This window comes from Homo sapiens, chromosome 5, assembly GCF_000001405.40.
Source record: "Homo sapiens chromosome 5, GRCh38.p14 Primary Assembly".
Classification (NCBI taxonomy): domain Eukaryota; kingdom Metazoa; phylum Chordata; class Mammalia; order Primates; family Hominidae; genus Homo; species Homo sapiens.
The window spans coordinates 143,138,890-143,158,344 of NC_000005.10; the positions used below are offsets into that span (position 1 = coordinate 143,138,890).

Consider the following 19,455-nt stretch of genomic DNA (forward strand, 5'->3'; position numbering starts at 1 on the left):
AACAACGTAGATTTGAACCCTGTCATTCTACCTCAAAGTGACACTGTTAACCAGTCGTTATTTTGCTTTCAAATTGTGGGATGGTTCCCCAGGAGATGCATTCTTTTAGGGTTAGCTGTTGTGACCTAGTCCGCGAACTCTTCCTTATCTCCAAGGGAAAATGTTTCCAGTTCCACTTAAGAACCTGGAGTTCAAAGTTTCATTCAGCTGGGCATCTGCCGGTAAAATGCTGAGGGGCTGGGGTGGAAGTACAAATGGATACATTTGGTAAAGAACTTTCAGGCCAAACTAAATTTGAACCTCATCTAATAATAACAATAAAAATAAAAATAATTATAGCTCTACTTATGTGCCTACTAACCTCATTATCTCGTGTCATCCCCACAATTGATGATAATCCTGTGAGGTAGGTTCTTATATCCACATTTTACAGACAAGTAAACTGAGGTCAAGAGGTTAAGCAGTTACACTGTCAGCAAATGGCAGAGAAGGGATTTGTACCCAGGTAGTCTTCTAGTCTTCCTTCCCTATACTTTGTTATCTCCAAAAGGGTACCTTTGTCAGTTCTTGAGCTACAGAAGTGAAAACCTTGCTAGCCTGAGTTACAGAAGCAATGAAAACCATCTGTTCCAGCTTCCAGGGCTACATGGGGGCAGTTGAACCATATTGAATGGGTACCTCAATGTGCGTCCTGGCAGGCTGCAGCCACGTGACAGTCTCCCCTCCAAATCTAGCACCAACTACACAGAGAGCGATATGTGTTGAATGGTAGCTTTAATATGCTCGGCCAAGCCACTCACGCTCATTTGCGATCACCTTCGAACAGATGGAACGAGGTTTTTCAACTGTGCTCCCAGATGAATGGCAGCAAAGGAGATTACTCTTTAATCTCCAAGTTTCCACACAGATACACCATCCAGCAGAGACTGTACTGGTACATCTAGGTGAAAGGTACTGACACACACGCTGTGCTTTTTCTGGACGACTGTAGAAGGGGGAGCCAGAAGGATTGAAGGGAGCCAGCAACAAGGTCTTGTACCTTATAGATTTCTTCCAAGGGTTTGCAAAGTGACACTTAGGATTTATTCTGTCCCAAATTTTTAGCATTTATACCAAGATGTTGAAATGCGTTTCTTGGAACAGTGGTTCATAGACTTGAGTGTGCATTTGAATCTTGTAGGGAGCTTGTTAAAAATACAGATGCTTGGTCTCCTACCCAGGATATTCTGAGTCAGGAGGTCTTGGCTGGGGCTCAAGCATCTATATTTTTAAAGCACCCTAGTGATACTGATGCTAACTCAATTTAGAGAAGTACTGGCTTGGGAAGGTGGGGACAGTCAGGGTGGCTTGTCTTCTGTCATTAGCAGAACATCTCTTTGAATCACTGTTGGAGTTTGGAGCACCCTGGCATGGTGGTTGAAAGTGGAGGCTCTGCAGTCAGACTGAGATGTTTTAATGTCATCTCTATCACCTACCACTCTGAGACCTGGAGTACGTTACTTTCCTTTTCTGAGCCTCCATTTTCTCATCTGTAAAATCTATCACTAATAATAGCTTCCTTGGAGGGTAATTGCCATGATTAAGTGAGCCAGTATATATAAAGTACTTGACATTGGGCCTAGACCATAGTAAGCACCTAATAAATGTTAGCTACAATTATGATGATTATCATCACGCTGTAGTTGTATCTTACAACTGACTAAGGAAATATCCTTCCCTTTGGAGCCTGCAGATTCCAAAAGAGAGGCCCATATGTGAGGGAAATGCAGATTCCCCCCGGCCCCTGAGACAGCCTGTCTGAGGCTTGAGTGCAAAAACATCAGCAGCCTAGGACACATTGTACAGTGTCGGTGGGGGTGGGGGTGGGGGCAGGAGTGGATTCTTGGGCCTTGTTTTACATGGATCATGTTAACTAGCTGCTGAGATTATAGCTCTGAATAATTTTTTTAGTTCCGTTAATTCATCCTAGACCCTCTCCCAGACAGGCCCAGTGAGAGGTTGAGAATTCAGCTTATATATTTCTCATGTGTGTCTTCCTTGTTGAAAAATGACTGGGAATTCATACTATTCAAAGGCTTACGTAATGCCTTTCTCTGAGCAGTCAAAGCTGTAGCATGTGCCCTTTCTCAGGTTGCCTTTGCAGATCCCGGGTGCCCTGGGCACACCTGTTTGCTTTGGCAGATGACATGTTTATTCACATGGATTCCTGTTGTCACACGGGCTGCAGAAGGTGTGTAATGTGTTTCTTGGGTTAACTATGTGTAATTACTACACGTGACTGAAAACCACGTTGATAATGTGGCTATTAAAAAATGATGCTGTGGAAAGCTGGTGGCAGGAAAAAAGTTCCAGCTAGACCCATTAAATGAAAACAAGCCATTCTAGGCGCATACTTTTGGCACTATCACCAAGTGAACAAAGCAGATACCATTAAGTATGATGTGAGTCTGCTTCGTTAAAAAAGTACATGTCTGTGTGTGTGTATATGTATATATTCCTCTGTGTAGCAGATCGATTGGACATTTACACACCAAAATGAATACAACTGGAGCGTGGCCCATACGGGATATCTGTGTGCAGATGCAAATGCTTTTCTAGACTTTCTAAATTGGAGAGAAATGCATATTTCTTATATATTCACTTGGTTTTAAGTTATTAAAAACAAAACTCCCTAATTGCACCTTTCATGTACTATCTCAAACCCATTTTGCTGTGAGTCATGGTATAAAAGTAGGTGTGTAGTTTCCTTCTAATGAGCAAGAATATAAGCCGTCTGTACGTGGACTCCCTCAGATCCCAGTCAACTGTAAGTTAACGGGAAACCAACTTTTCCTAAAAGCAAGTCTCACATAGAAAAGAGGGCTGTCTTGTGAGTAATACAGTGTCCATTTAACTCTGATCATTCAACCCCCTAGTCAACATTCATCAGAGGCCCATTCCTCCTTTGCGGTTTCTGAAATGGTGTTTTAGGGCCAGTCTTCCTCATTGTGCCTCCACGTCTCTTTCCTGTGGATCAGTGCAATCCCAGGCCACCCACAGTGACTTCCCCATTCTCTCATGAAATTCAGTTTTATTGGCATTTTTTCCCTTTGCAAAGAAAAGGGTTATTACAGGTGCTGCAGGGAGTCAGTCTGTCCACACAGAACCAAAATCAGAAGTCGTTTTGCTGAAGATAATCTGTCAAAGGTTTTAATATCATCTTTCATGTACTATGATCAAAACAACAGATTGACTCTACTTTTCACTTTTTTTTTTTTTTTTTTTTTTGAGACAGTCTTGCTCTGTCGCCTAGGCTGTGGAGTGCAGTGGCACGATCTTGGCTCACTGCAACCTTCGCCTCCCGGGTTCAAGTGATTCTCCCGCCTTAGCCTCCTGAGTAGCTGGGACTGCATGCGCCCGCCACCACGCCCAGCTAAATTTTGTACTTTTAGTAGAGATGGGGTTTCACCATACTGGCCAGGCTGCTAGTCTCGAACTCCTGACCTTGTGATCCACCTGCCTCGGCCTCCCAAAGTGCTGGGATTACAAGCATGAGCCACTGCGCCCGGCCTACTTTTCAACTCAATGTATAGAGTCTATCATCACCCAAACTCCTTTTTAAGATTTTTTTAAAAAAAAAACATTGTCCAAACTGTTTTTATATACCCAAACATATTACGCAGACTGCTTTTTAAGTTTGTTTTTATCATAGGGACTGAGGCTGCTGGGTCAGCCTGAAATGAGACCACCTCAGATTTTAGTGTGGCTTGGCATGTCACTATTATCAGGAACAAGAGCTACAGGGGGTAAAAATTGCTTCAGAAAGTCTGATTCCAAGCTTCCCATGTACTTGGGTATTTCCCAGAGATGGTAAACTCAGAAATTGCTGTGCACTCATCACTTTTTATTGCAAAATTCATTAAGCTGCTGTGCTATTATCATCCCATCTTGTCAAGATGATACATTACAGACTTCATTGCAAAACTTTAACAAGTAGGAGAAAGTACACCTCTCTCCTGACCACAGCACAGGAAAGCCTCTGGGTATTTTGTGTTTGCCTTCCTATTTTTTTTAATATAAATCTCCTTGTCTTTGTAAAACTTCGCTCTGTCTGGTAACTCCCTTTTCTCCTTGTTTGATCATGTGGAGAGTCTGTTCCCTCCTTTTGGCTCTATGAGGCATCCTGAGATGCTGTTAAAGAACAGTCCTCTTGCCTCTTCTTTTTGCCCTCTACTCTTAGGCACCATGGAAAGTTGGGATATTAGCCTGTATTCTGACAGAGTCCCATGCATGGGGGGAAACCTCCCGCAAATGTTTCGTATTTACCCTCCAGCTCTGTGTATTCAGTGAGCCAGACCTGTTCGGGCCTGCCAAGACGTGTGAATTTGGCTTGGCTCTGTGAGTGCTTTCCTGGCCTCGCCTCTGGGTTCTGTGATAAACAGAGCTCCTGCCTCCCCTGTGTGATGGGGTTGCCATTAGAGTGGGTCGGAGTCACTTGGTAAATATGGAAAGTGAAGTCGCTTAGCTCCCAGATTTCCATGGCAACCCCCAGAACAAGTACAATATCACCAAAATTATTCTGCGGCTTTCCTTTTTTAGTTGCAGTGATTTGGTTGCATACTCATGTTTTTCCGTTCCTGATTTGTACAAAAAACAAAAACTCTGCCCACTGTCATCAGTACTTTGGTTTCAAGGACATTTATGGTCCCTGTCTAAAGCACCTGAAAAATTCAGTCACGCAAAACTACCCCTTTCTGTTCCAGCAGCATAAATTTTTGACTGTGTATTATTCCCTTATATTTAATATTTATCTTATAACCATTCACGGAGCCTTAGTGTCAGTGACCCATGGGCTAGGCACCAGGAATGGATGGCTAATGGTGACCTCACCTGCCACGTTAATGGATGCTGTATGGCCAGACAGCATGTCCCTGCCCTCGGGTAGTTTGCATCCTTAAGGACCAAGTTCACATGCAGTTTGTCACTCCTTATAGAACATATGTTTGTGAAAGCACTGCCAATGCATGCTTACCATTATTTGGGGATTTATTTTATCATGTTCTTGTTGCTGAGGTCTTGTTTTCTGTGATTGATACAAAGACAGATTCCTGTTGACAAACATGTTTGAGGCGGGCAAGCATTCTCACTGACTTCAACCAGTTTAGGCATACTCCTGAGTTGTGGGCATTCTTTCCTTTTTGACATGGTCCTCTGTGATCTTGTTGACTTGACTCATAACTAGCTGTTTTTCTTTTGAAGCCCACTAGCCTATAATTTTTTTCCTTCAGCAACATAATTGCCATCAGTCCTTCTTATACCTTCTATGAGGATACCAGAGCTGGATTGAATCATCAGTGACTCAGGGAAGTCTAGCTATGTTATTTGAAGGATTTGCTTAATTTTAATTTTTATTTTTTAAAGTGTCTTCTAGGCTGCCTGTTCTTGTGCGCTTCTGTCAGGAGCAGTACTCATTTGCCTAGCTGATGAAAAACTTTCCTGTTTCGAGTGACATTACGGGATCATTTTTTCTTTATTATTATTATTATTTTTTAAAGGAGGCAGAGTCTTGCTCTGTCACCTAGGCTGGAGTGCTTTGGCACCATCATACCTCACCACAGCCTTGAACTCCCAGGCTGAAGCAGTTCTCCTGCCTCAGCCTCCCAAGTACATGGGACCACAGGTGTGTACCACCAGGCCTGGCTAATTTTTAACTTTTTTTGTAGAGATGGGGGTCTCACTGTGTTTACCAGGTTGATCTCAAACTCTTGGCCTCAAGTGATCCTCCCACCTTGGCCTCTGAAGGCGATGGGATTACAGGCATGAACCACTATGCTTGGCTCATTTTCTCCTTATTTCCTAATTGACTCCAAATGCTGTAAAATTTGTCTTGGTATAGTTTGCTATAACCACTAAAACATTTGATTGGCTGTTGGTCTTATTCTCTACTCTTTCCCTGGAATAATCCTCACCTGCCTACTTACCGTCAGTAAAGATTGTCAGCCTTTTGGCTTTGATCTTCTACCTAGATGTTCTCAGTCTCATTATGTGTTGTCTACAGATGATGAGACCTTTCTTCTACAAAACTGTAGTCGTTTTATAGTCAGGGAATGCCAGGTTTCTGGGTTTTCTTGTCATATGGCCCAGCAAGGGATACCAATAAAGAGTCAGCCTTTCAAGATGCATATTTGGCCCTCTTGGCTGTAAAACTATGAAGCCTTATGATACATTTTTATACCCTCCTTTACTAATGGATAGTAAGGGAGAAAAATAATCTCCTGGTAACATTTTAGAAAGACGAATATACTTTTAGCAAGATATTGTTTTTAGTTTGTAGAATGATAATCCTCTCCTGGAAAAGTAAATATAATCACAGGAGAAATGTGAGCAATAGTTATGCTCTTCTGTTCCCTAAGAATTCTGAGAATTATGCCATGCAAACTTAGCCCTTTAAGCTTCTCAAACTAAAGTTAATACAACTGTTTTTCTTCCTGTCCTGTGAAGCAGTAAATGTCTCCAGTTGAAGCCCAGGGAACCGTCCTCACTCTCTCTCTTTATATGGTAGCCTCCAGTTCCTCATGGTCTTTCGGGCATCTTTGTATGCGTGTCTTGTGAAAAGGAAAATTTTACTGATACTGATTCATACTGATAAATGGCACATCCAATCTCTCAATGATCCCCTTATTATGTAATCTTAGCGTTGTTTTTCTTTCTGGTAGGAAGTTCCCATTTACAGGCCCTGTTAGTCCTCCTACATCTTGGCTCAGTGTAACTCTTTTGGTTTCTCTTTGTTGTCGTTTCTGTTCAAAAACGAAGCTCTTAAAATATGAACAGTTTTAAATCTCAGGCATCAATTCAATCTACTTTTTCCAAATCTACTTTGAGTACAGTAGTCAGGAGCTAGCCTCACAGGGTTTTTCTCTCTCCTGTGGGGCTTTATCTAGGGCATTAAGGATTTGCTAAGATATCAGGGGTATTGGGGTGAATGTGTATGTATTTAACGTGAGGCTTACTCTAGAATCACTTTGTAAGCATACTTTATTTTTACATACATGACTCGTGCAAAGGGAAAAGTATTTTTATGACACATCACCCTCTTAATTGCCTAAAGAGACCTGAGTTCAAATATTGGCCTTTAAATTATCATACCAGTGACTCTAGACTGTACTCTGAGGGATATATTGTAACATACCCCTGACTCGCTGCAAAAAGGTCCAGGATTAGCCTAGATATGATGTTTAAGTGAATTAATTTTCAGAAATATCAGTTGATTTTAATATGGTATATCTGTAATAAATAGGGGACAAGAATCACATTCCACATCTATAATATTTTGCTACAGTAATGGTGGATGCTGGTACCATTTAGCTAAATTATCTCCAAAATTTGTGTTTTCCATTTATGATTCCAAGTTTTTAAAGATGGGAAGAACATAAAGTTCTGTTCTTTGAGCAGTGTTCTGAAGTTTACAAGATACATTCCTGCCTATGATCCCACTTGATCCTCATGACAGTTCCACAAGCTGTGAAAGGCAGTTCTTGTTCTCCCCATTTTATAGATTGTTAACCAGGAATCCAAGATCAAGTAGAAATTGCCTGAGGCCACATAGCCAGTCAGGGCTTGAAGAGAACTCAGGTTTTCTGTCTCTTGGCTTGGCAGTATTCTCCAAGCATGAATATGACTGCTGGGACTATGGACTCAAGTGTTTTGTTGTTGTTTATAGGCAAACCATTCTGCAGCCCATTACAGAGCGATTTATCAAAGAATTCACTTGAAGTCAAACACCAAGTACATGGAGCTAGAGGCAACACAGAAAGATGTGTCTGAGAAAGGGTCAGGAATTTAGACTGGTGGAGTCGTAAGGACATTGGTGGCTAAATAGTAGATCTTCTCTGGTGAGGCTCTATGGAATTGGAGGTGGGACATGGCCTGATCAATTAGAGCAATATTAGAGGCAGGAGTTTTAGAATAAAAGGTGAGTGTCACAGAAGCCAAGGGGATCTGGGTGAATGTGAGGGGTCTGTGGAGGCTTTTCTCTACTCTGGCAATCTGCCAGTCAAAAGAAGATGCAATTTATGGTGCCATAGTAGGGCCACTCTTAGAAAAAATCCTGGCTTATATTAAAGGGGAGATATATCCTGTTATGACGAGGAAAGGGGTTTGCTTTAAAATTTCGAGTCACCTGTTCCCCCTTGACTCTTCCTTTCCCACTTTTAATTCTTAACCTTTTCTATGTTGTTTCTTAAGCTTCCCTGGGATCAGAGATCTTGATCCAGTCTTATTCTTTATACATTTTTGTGCATGTAGCAATAGACTGTCCCTATGCAATAATATTAATATGGGACTTGTGGCTTTTCCCCCCCAGAGGAACAAAGGAACAGCATCATCAACTCCAGTTTGGAATCTGTCTCATCAAATCCAAACAGCATCCTTAATTCCAGCAGCAGCTTACAGCCCAACATGAACTCCAGTGACCCAGACCTGGCTGTGGTCAAACCCACCCGGCCCAACTCACTGTAAGTATGATGTCCAGCTGCCTACCCCACAAGGGCTTTGGTCAGCCATTCCACCTAGAATTTGCTGTCTGGCTCCATCTGACTTTGGACCATTATCCCCTGAACATTATTTAAACCTCCTCCCTAAACTGGGAGCTCAGCTGGCTTGTTGTGGGTTTTTAAAGCATCATCATCTCAGAGGGAGTCGTTATTCTTAACATACTGCTTCTTAGCCTTGGTGATTTTTGATTTACTGTCCTGCTGAGATGGCTTTGGTGATAGCTATTGCCTGTGCTGGCTGCTAGGCATGAAAAGCAATTTCTGTAAGTTTTACAAACGTCCAGGGACTGTAGCAGCTCTGTGGCCGAGTTTGTTTCACTCATCTATGTTGTCTCGGTTTCCCTCCCCACTGACTATGTTGGAAATGTTCAATGCCAACTCCATGTCCACTTCCATAAGGAAGAGCCCCCAGGAGCCCTTTGTGTCTTCACATCCTCAAACCTTAGCATGACTATGACTTCTTGACAGAGACTATGAAAGAGAAGAACCCTTTTTGCTTTATTTTTCAGCATTGAGCACCCATAGTCAGGACAATTAGTTTGGGGGCTGGTTGTCTAGCCCTCCACAGAAACTAGGTCTACTCTGCTAGGATCAGAAAGTTCTCCCTCATGGTTTCAACCCCACATTGCTTCACATGCTTCCTTAGACTACCCCATAAATCTTGTCAACTAGCGCCTTTGCAGAAAGAATGTGAGGCCATGACCGGAACAGTTGGACTCTCAGGCTACAGTTATGTAAGACTCAGGAAAAACAGATGATTTTCCCATTCTCTAAGTGAAAATACATTGAGGTTCAGCCACAGACTGTCTTCAGGGCAGTTGTTTCACGTGGGGAGACGCTAGCATGGCGGTGAGATGCTAGGATGTCGGTAACCTTTTCCTGCTCCTCCACATGCCATAGTTTCATGACAGCACCCTGCCATTCAATTGCTGTGAGATATTTACAAATCTGCAAAATGAGTCTGATAATTTCTGCCTTAGAAGACACTAAGGGCTATTAAATGCTTGGGAGGAGAGATGACTCCAAATGGACTTAAGAGGTACATAATAAAAATGTGACTATACTGTAGGATGAAATCTGAAACTGAGAATATAAGATCTTTTTAGTTGTTGGCAGCTTTAAATCATACTGATGTTCAGGAAGTTTAATTATTTGCCTGTTGAGTGGTAAATCACATGTTCCTTCACCAAGAAGTGGACCAGTGCCTCAGGACCTCAAAATAATTGAATTTGTTTGGCTTATGGGCAGTGAGTCTCTTCCGGTTCTCCATGGCTGGGCTTGCCTAGGGAGCCTCCCTGCCTTGAGGTTTGACCTTCTCAGGTTCTCCTATACCCACTTTCCTAGACTTTAGGGAGATTCTATTTTCTTTACTTGTTTTTTTCTTCAGTTGGTTTAATTTTCTGTACCTAGCAGTTGCTGAAGTGATTCCTTGCTCTGTATGAGCAAGGTTGAATTTCTAGCCCAAGTTGCTTAACATCCCCTGATTTTAGCCAGCCGCTACCAACTAGTGGTCTGTAATTTTCTTTTCAGTGGCTGGTAACTGTGGGCCCCTGAGTCACTGCTGAGTACAGTGTGTACAAAGAGGTTGCTTAAGCAGCTAAGTGGAAAAGGGGAGGTGTGTCTTTTAAACAGGTCCTGAGGAGAAGGCTTGGGATTTTTTGTTTTTTAGGTGTCTAGATACGATTTATTTTCATAACATCCTGGGAATCGCTCTGCCCACTTCACACCACCCAGAGGGACTGTTGCCTGCCTGGTACAGATCTGGGGGGCTTTCCTGGGGAAGGGAGGGTGATAACAGGAACGGTTCTAATTGTCTCTGGAGGAGAATTAGAAAAAGAAGTGTGGGTGTGCCTCCAACAAGACCACTGTCCTTCCAAGCTGAGTGAGTCGCTGATTGATACCTTTGGGTCTTGAGGTCAGGGAAGGTTGTTCCTGAGGTAGAAGCAGTACCAGCATCAGCCCTGATACCAGCGTCTGCCATGGCCCTGAGTGAGAGCCATGTCAAAGTCCCCCATAAGCTCTGCAGGCAGGCTCGCAGCCACTTCTCAAACCCCAGGCAGTGAGGTGATTTTCCTGGGATCCTGTCTCCCTGATATTTTCTGCCTGGGATTTGCTGGTGTGGATCATGCATGGCTGTTAGGCAGTCCTAACAAATGGACCCACAGTACTTTCCCTGAGCAATTTGATTCTGAGAAATCTGTCGGCACACAGACGTGCCACGGTAACAATCACCTGAGACGACTTGGGTCTCAGCCTCAGGTGTGGACCCTTTTGTTCCCTCCATCGTTGTTGAGTTGGAAGTGTCCAGAGATCCTCCAGTGGGAACACTTAATGATGCAGATGAAAATAAAGAACAAAGGTGGGCTGGGAGGATTACCATTAACTTGACTATTAATTATGCATGAGGTAGGGAACCAGTCACCAGGAAGCTATCTGTTCTTTTTATTTCACTCCTTTATTTCACTATTTTTCATAATGACTGGGATATCATTATGACCAGAGAGAAATCATAGTGAAAGAAACATGTTTGTTACTCATAATACAGTGGTACCTCTGATAATACATTTTGCTGTATTACTAATCTTTCCTAATTCTCCAAGGACATCAGGGCCCTCTTATTTACATGAATGTAATGCTAAATCAGGCATCAAAATTAGAGAGGCCATCATTCTACCTGTGCCAGGGCAAGGCTGCTGGGTTTAAATCTTTGGCAGGTCCTCAGCTTGACTCCTGAAGTAGCCATCTCTCCTGAAGAACAAAGGACAATTGGTAAGTCAGGACCAAAGTCCAGCTAGTCTGAAATTGTTAGCAACTGTGGCTGAACCTATTTTATGCCCAGACCCATGCATGCCAAGCTACCTGGGGTAAACCGGAATAAGAGGGTTCCTGTCTTCCCCAAGAGTTCACAGTCTAGCTAAGAAAGAAAGGCAGTGGCATATGGCAGTGCTAATGGGGACTTACAAGTCATAATGTGTTCAGAGTTCAACCACTGTCAACTGAATATGTGGTGAGTGCACACACTAGGTCGAAGTAGTGGAAAAGGTCGGGTAGATGGAGTGTGAGGTGGGCATTAGGAAAAACTTAGGTGGATGGATGAAGAGCATTCCAGGTAAGAAGGATGAAGGAGGCAGAGATTATCCAGGATGGATAAATGCATTCTGCAGACATGTGTATTAGGGGAGGAGGGAGCTGGAATTCCTCTGGTACCACTACCACCAAAAAAAGACTTGAACAAACCTTTAAAATCAGGAGTCTTCACATAAAATTCAGATTTCATGCTGGAACAACTGGACATCCATATACACAAAAATGAATCTAGATACAGACATTATACCTTTCACAGAAATTGATTCCAAATGGACCATAGGTCTAAATGTAAAATGCAAAACTGTAAAACCTCTAGAAGATAACATAGGAGAAAACCTAGGTGGCCTTGGGTATAATTATGACTTTTTAGATACAACGTTAAAAGTATAATCTGTGAGATAAAAACTTAAGTTGGACTGTGTTTAAACTAAAAACTTCTGCTCTGTGAAAGACACTCAAGAGAATGAAAAGACAAGCCACACACTAGGAGAAAATATTTGCAAAACACATATCTGATAAAGGACCAGTATCCAAAATATACAGAGAACTCTTAAAATTCAATAATAAGTAAACAAAGAACCCAATTAAAATATGAGCAAAAAATATGAACAGATACCTCATCAAAAAGGACATACAGGTGTCAAGTAAGCATATAAAAATATGATTCACGTCTTATGTCTTCAGGGAAATACAAATAAAAACAACAGTGAGATACCACTACACACCTCTGAGAATGGCCAAAATTCCAGAACACTGACAACATCAAATGCTGGCTAGGATGTGGAGCAGTGGGAACTCTCACTCATTACTGGTGGGAATACAAAGTGATACAGCCATTTTTAGAAGACAGTTTGGTGGTTTTTCACAAAACCAAACATATTCTAAGCATACAATCCAGCAATCATGTTCTTTGGTATTTACCCAAATGAGTTGAAATTTATGTCTACACAAAAACCTGCACATGGATTTTGTTAGAAGCTTTATTTATAATTGCCAAAACTTGGGAAGCAACCAAGATGTCTATCAGTATGTGAAAATGGATAAACAAACTATGGTGCACGCAGACAATGCTATATTATTCAATGATTTTAAAAAGTGAACTCTCCAGCCATGAAAAGACATGGAGGAACTTTTAATGCATATTGCTGAGTAAAAGAAGTCAGTCTGGCGGGGTGCAGTGGCTCACACCTGTAATCCCAGCACTTTGGGAGGCCAAGGCAGGCAGATCGCTTGAGGTCAGGAGTTTGAGACCAGCCTGGACAACATGGTGAAACCCCATCTCTACTAAAAATGCAAAAAAATTAGCTGGGCATGATGGTGTGAGCCTGTAGTCCCAGGCTCAGGAGGCTGAGGCAGGAGAATGGGTTGAACCTGGGAGGCAGAGGTTGCAGTGAGCTGAGATCGTGCCACCGCACTCCAGCCTGGGCTACCGAGCAAGACTCCATCTCAAAAAAAAGAAATCAATCTGAGAAGACTACAGTATGATATGATACCAACTATATGGCTTTCTGGAACATGCAAAATTATGGAATCAATAAGAAGATCAGTGATTGCCAGGGATTCTGGGGAGAGGAAGAGGGATGAATATTTGGAGCACAGGGTATTTTTTTCGCGGTGAGACTATTCTGTATGATGCTGGAATGGGATATACACAAGACATTATGCATTTGTCAAAACCCATAGAACACAAAGACTGAATGCTAATGTAAACTATGACCTTTAATAATAATGAACCAATATAAATATTGGTTCATGAGTTGTAACCAGTGTATCGCGTTAATGCAAGATGTTAATAATTAAGGAAACTCAGAATGTAGAAATAGAGAGGGTATGTGTAAAACTTTCATGCAATTTTTCTGTAAACCCAAAACTGCTCTAAAAAATAGAGTCTATTAACACATCTTTTTAAATCCAGATTTCCAGCTTCTTTTGAAGTGTCAGAAGAGTTGGTTACACTAAACCTATGTGAAACTTGGGAGCAGATGATACTCTCTGGTCTCTATAATCTCACAGCTGGCCTGCTTCACTTTTATACCTAATGCCTGTAGGCCCATAGTAGATTAAAAATGGCCATAGAATCTTTGCAACCCCTCCCATTAAGAGCTGGAGCCCTTGAATCTAGGCTGACCTTTACCCTTTGACTTATTTTGGCCAATAGAATGTGGAGGAAGTGACATCATGTGCCTTCCCAGGCCCAGGCCACAATGCCTCACAGCTTTCTCTCTCATTCTCTTGGAACCCAGTCACCATGTAAAGAAGCCTGTTGTAGCCTCCTTAAAGATGACGGATTACTGGAGAGAGAAGCCCAGCTATCTCTCTCAGCGCAGCTCAGCATTGGGACCACCAGTCAGTTGAATGCAGCCACCTGGGTTAGTCAGGCAAGACCAGCCAAAGCTTCCCAGACAACCTATAGATTCATGATAAATATCACATTGTGATTATTGGAACCCAGTGAGTTTAGGGTGGTTTAATATGCAGTGATAGTAAACTGACACAAGTCCTGTGAGTTTGTGACCGCGGAGTCATGGGCAGCTGTCTTGGGATGGGGCTGAGCTGTCTGCATGAATAGAAAGGTATGGAAGAGTCTCACTATAGTATAGTGCAGCATGGAGACTAGCCTCTCGGTTTTCAGAATCTTCTTGGAAAGAAAACAACTTGTAACTGAGATTCTAAGAAATTTGGGAAACAAAATTTATGGCTAATGGCTGAGGCAAACAAGAAAGGTGGCTCAAATATTGGAATGGAAAGCAGGAAACCCTAGGTTTTAGTTCTGGCATCGACATTGCCTGGCTGATGATACTGGTCTCTGGACCTGAGCATGCCCACTACCACCATCTTCCACTGTCTCTGGTGGAAGAAATGGGGCTGATCCACCTCCAAGGATGAGGGTCGTTCAATGGGTGCTTACTGAGGGCTGCAGAAATAAATCATTCTCTCCTTCCACAGTGACCAGTGGGGCATCATGCCAACTCCTTTCTGGGAGAGAGTGATTTTAAAGGAGGAAGTAAACAAATGCTGAGAAAGAAGTCAGGGAATGCCCCACCAGGGACATAACATGCTGCAGTAATTTCCCCAAATTAGAAACTACTAGGTAAATGCCTTCTTTAGACCACAAAGATTGAAAGATTGAAAGAAAGCTAGGAGGGCTGGGATGATTACTGCAATGATGGAACCCAACCTTGGAGTTCTCTCTGCCTAAGTGGTCCCCACCCCTAAAAAATAACTAACTGCTCAGTAGCCTCATAAATAAAACTAATTTTTCTCGTCCTTCTGTCTTAACACACACGCTCATGCATTTCCAAGTTATTTCTGGTGACCTAAAAGACGCACGCATGCCAAACGCCTGCAGATTCTGCCAGAGTCAACCTTCTTCTCCTGTCTTAGTGGCCAGAGAACAGTCCCTGGAATTCAAAGGATAAACAAGGCCTGCGTCCAGACAGAGTTGTTTCTCTGAAACATTGCTGGCTTCTTCTGAGTTTGATTCAGCTGTTCTCTGATGAAATTCAGGGAAAACTTGCCTTCAGAGATATCTCTCAAATTTTACTAATCTTCCACTTTAGTTGGTCAACATTCATTCCACAAATGTCAATTGAACTCCTACTGTGGGCCTGGTGGTGGTCTGAGTGCTGAAGATACAGTGATTTAAAAATATTAAAAAAAAAAAAAGAGTTTCTGCTTTCATGGATTTTATATTCTAGTGGAGACAGGAGATAAATCAGTGTTTAACACAGTATGTCACACAGTATATTGAGAAGTCCCAGGGAGAAAACTAATGGAGAACCAAGGAGATAGGGATTTGGAGGAGAAGGAGGCAAGTGACTTTAGCTCTCTGTACCTCAGTTTTCTCATCTGTAAAATAGTGTGATCATAACCTCCTCAAATAGGTGGCATGAAAATTAAGATCATCTTTTACTTACGTATTTTAGTACTGTGTATGGCAATTAATAGTATTATTTTGGAGGGCTCCCCCCACAAACTGTCCTTACTTTTTCTCCAGTCCCTCAGCCATGGTATGTATTTTTCCTGTGCAGAGAAATGTCCCAGGCTGTCCCACTCACCTTCCCCCACCAGCCTCCTACCTTGAATCTGAGACTGGAGCTATAACTCAGTCCAGGCTTTAAGTGATCAGTGAAGAGGAGGAAGGAACTTCTGCTGTAGAGGCAGGTGCTACCCCTCCTTAAAGCAAGACCAGCTAGGGTAGACACGCCACACCCTGTTCCTGAAAGATTTGGAAACCTCTGAATCCCACAGGGTACCTGATAATTGTGTGCATAGCTGTTATTTATTGAGACCAAATGAATGGCAAAATGAATAATATGCATTAGACAAGTGATAATTCATAGCATTTTTTTTTTTAAAAAGCAATTTTACCATCCCCATGCTATTTTATGCCAAAGGGTTACACCCAAACAGGCTGCTATGCTTTTACTAGAATTGTCTCTATTTGTCATCCTTTGGAATGTGGGGCTTTGAAAGAGGAAGTTTTCCTCTGTGGCTGGATCAACTTTTTGTGGAGAAGGATCTTTCCTTTTAGATGGAGAATTCTGTTTCTCACCCACCTCCAAGCAGAAAAGATCTCTTCAGACCGATTTGCCTGAAAAGTTGGTGACATTCCCCACCTTTGGAAATAACCTGAACGCCTCATTGTTTTCAAAAGGATTCATTTGCCCCTCCTTGCTCCCCACAGTGCCCTTGGGGATTCCAGCTTACTTACTCGTTCATTGTTGTTTCTTGGACATGCCAGATACCCTCCCTCTGTCACCTCAGGCTCCTGGGCTGTGGAGGCCACAGCTCTGCCCTGTAACTAGGCCACGTTTCCTTGACATTTTCAGTTTGTTACTGGTGTGACCCATTTTCTGAGTGGCTTCATGTCCACTTTTCTCTTTCCCTAAGCAAGATCTCACTCATCAATCGGGAGCCCAGCTGGGCTTCCCTTGGTTGAGGGTGGAAATTCCTGCCTTCATCCAATTTTTATGAGATAAATGTGTTGGTTATTAGTGGTGGTTCTTCTTTTTTAAAATATAAAAATTGCTTGAGACAGACCTCACACTTGGTGACCCAGCAGGGTTTCTTTCCCAAGCACCAGGGACCCATCGGTGGCACTTGGATCTCTACAGCCTGTCAGCAGAGGGGGTATGGGAGGAGGTAAGGGCAGAGCGCCGTTTGAATGCCTAGCCACATCCCTGTTTTCCAGCAGAGTGGAAATCACAAATGGAAAAATGTTTTCCTTTACACATATTGTTCTGTTCTTTTCTCCTGTACAAGCTAAAATCATATAAAGGGTCTGTATTTTTTCTATAAACTTATAAATCTTGCTAAATAACCTAAAACAGTTTCCAAAAATTGCCCTGACATACACAGTACATGCTTAAAGCTTTGGAGTTTAATTAAAGGTATGAATGACTGAATTTCATTTTGAATTTAGCTGCCCTCAAATGCCTTATGACACTGTATTTTATTTGTGTAAGTGTTAGGCATTTTAAATCTCAAATTTTTGGTAGAATATTTGGGAAGGAAATAGGCTTAAGATTTCGCATGGCTTTTTCAACATTGTTATGCCTGTGAGGGAACTTTGAAGGAAATCTAAAGTGTTATTTTTCTTATTTAGGATTAGATTAGAATTGTTTCTACCTCTGTGTATTTAATCTGAGGGATCTTATTCGTAGATTCAGATTCTAAATTGGGTAAATTAAAAGTACATTAGAGTTCAAGTACTGCTTTTGAAACCTTTTTTAGTCAATCTGGAAAGCAGATGCTTACTTAGCTAGGAAAGCATTCCTAGTTGGAAACAGCCTTAGAATCTTGTTTTTAACTCCTTCTCTGCATTAGGGATCTGGAAAGCCAGGCAGGATCAACCATAGGCTTCATTTGGTCTCTGTTACACTGGTCTTCCAAGGCAGACCCTTAGCTCTGTGCACTGGTTCTCAGAGTGTGGTCCTGGGACCAGCATCATTGGTGTTACCTGGGAGCCTGTTAGATCTACAGAATCTCAGGCCTCACCCTAGACCTATAGGATCAGCATATTCTGGAAGGAGGGCCCTGCAATCTGTGTTTTACCAAACCCTGCAGATGATTCTGATACATGCTCAAGTCTGAGAGCCATAGTGCATAGTGATCTAGTGCGTTAAGCTCATGGACTTCCACCAGAATAAAATCAGGACTTACCTCAGTGTAAAGCTCTCAGGGCCAAGCCTGTGTCATCACCAGCACCCTATGATTGTCTGTGCAGTGATGACAGTACTGGGGCTTAACTGAGCTCTGCCCGTGGCCTTTGGGATCAGTCACAGCTTATATAGCTGAGGAGGGATGGGTTTGCTTTTCACAGGAACCTATTAGCTCACCAGGGCTGCACTTTCCATCTCCCCCCAAAAGCCCAGTCAGCTGCTTCGCAAATGCGTGCCTGTTGGTTACAAATCAAGACAGGGTGGGTGCATCAATTAATCAAGCCAGTAGATGTTTTTATTGTTTATCTATTGTGTGTGTAACATGAAAAGATCAAGATGCTGGTATTGACAGAAAAATAGCTCTCAGGCTATGTGATACTGAAGGTGATGGATGAGCATCGGCGTGGACAGATTAGAGATGTCTAAATCAGCATTTCCCAAACTGGTACAGGAAGGGAAGGGGGCAAGAGCTGCTTTGGACTAAGTTCAACACATTCTTTCTTTTTTTTTTTTTTTTTTTCTCGAGACAGAGTCTCACTCTGTCATCCAGGCTGGAGGTCAGTGGTGTAATCTTAGCCCACTGCAACCTCCACATCCTGGGTTCAAGCAATTCTCCCACCTCAGCCTCCCAAGTAGCTGGGACTACAGGTGCACACCTCCACATCCAGCTAATTTTTATATGTTTTGGCAGAGACAGCGTTTCACCATGTTGGCCAGGCTGGTCTTGAACTCCTGACCTCAAGTGATCCACCTGCCTCAGCCTCCCAAAATGCTGGGACTACAGGCGTGAGCCACCATGCCTGGCCAGTTCAACAAATTATTGACTAGAGAACTTCTGAGCCTTTAATATGTCCATCTTGAAGGGGCATCTCTTACGCTACATTTCCTAAATACGTTGACCATAGTACATGATTTCTACAGCACTTCTCTTAAGCCTCTTGAAAGAGCATTCCATGGTTTGGGAAATGCTATTCTAAATCGACATTCTACTTTTGAGGGGGGAAAATGTATTTCTCATAATGGATGGCATTACTATGGTAGAGATCCTTTCAGAGAACAGAGATTTTGTTTATATATAAGTGTATGGCCACAAATAGCTTTCCGAAGACTGAAATGGGTTATAGGGTTATATCACGTGAAAAGCATTGGTAAGCTTTAGAATCTGGGGCAGGGCAAAGCCTGTGTGGCCTGATTGTGGATCTACCAGGGTCAAGCCTCAGCTCTGCCATTTCCTAACTGTGTAAACTTGGGAAAGTTATTTGCTATCTCTAAGCTAAACCTCTTCAGTGAAATGGTAGCAATAATAATAATACCTACTTTCAAGGTTATAAGATAATGCCTTCCTAACACTTAGTAAATGGCCTCGTTCAGAGTATCAATCAATAAAACCAATCAATAAAAATTGGTTTCTACTATTATTTTTATTCCTTCTTCTTATTTGCTCTCAGACTGCTCCCCCTACCAATGAACAAACCCCTAGTGTTGATTTCTTTCCGTGGTGGCAGTGGATGGACACTCAATGTTTACTTTTGTTTATTTGTTTGATCCTGATGTAACATAAAGCAACCCAGATTAAAAACATTGATATAATTTTAAAAAGGAATTAAAATACCCCAAATTAAATTAACTATAAATAATAAAATACACTGAAATCAATAGAAGTGCTCCTCTTC

At 42.3% G+C, this 19,455-nt stretch overlaps 1 protein-coding gene across 35 annotated transcripts in view; it reads left to right on the plus strand.

The window, feature by feature from the left end:
• The window catches only part of ARHGAP26 (Rho GTPase activating protein 26), a 458,635-nt gene that overhangs the window by 368,513 nt on the left and 70,667 nt on the right, over positions 1–19,455 (plus strand). For all 35 annotated transcript variants that reach the window (NR_146198.2, XR_007058592.1, XR_007058593.1 and 32 more), the window contains one exon: positions 8,342–8,492. Coding sequence is in view for 32 of the 35 variants with exons in the window: in NM_015071.6 (NP_055886.1) it covers positions 8,342–8,492 (151 nt within the window). In the remaining 3 variants the exon portion in view is untranslated. The remainder of the gene's footprint in view (positions 1–8,341; positions 8,493–19,455) is intronic.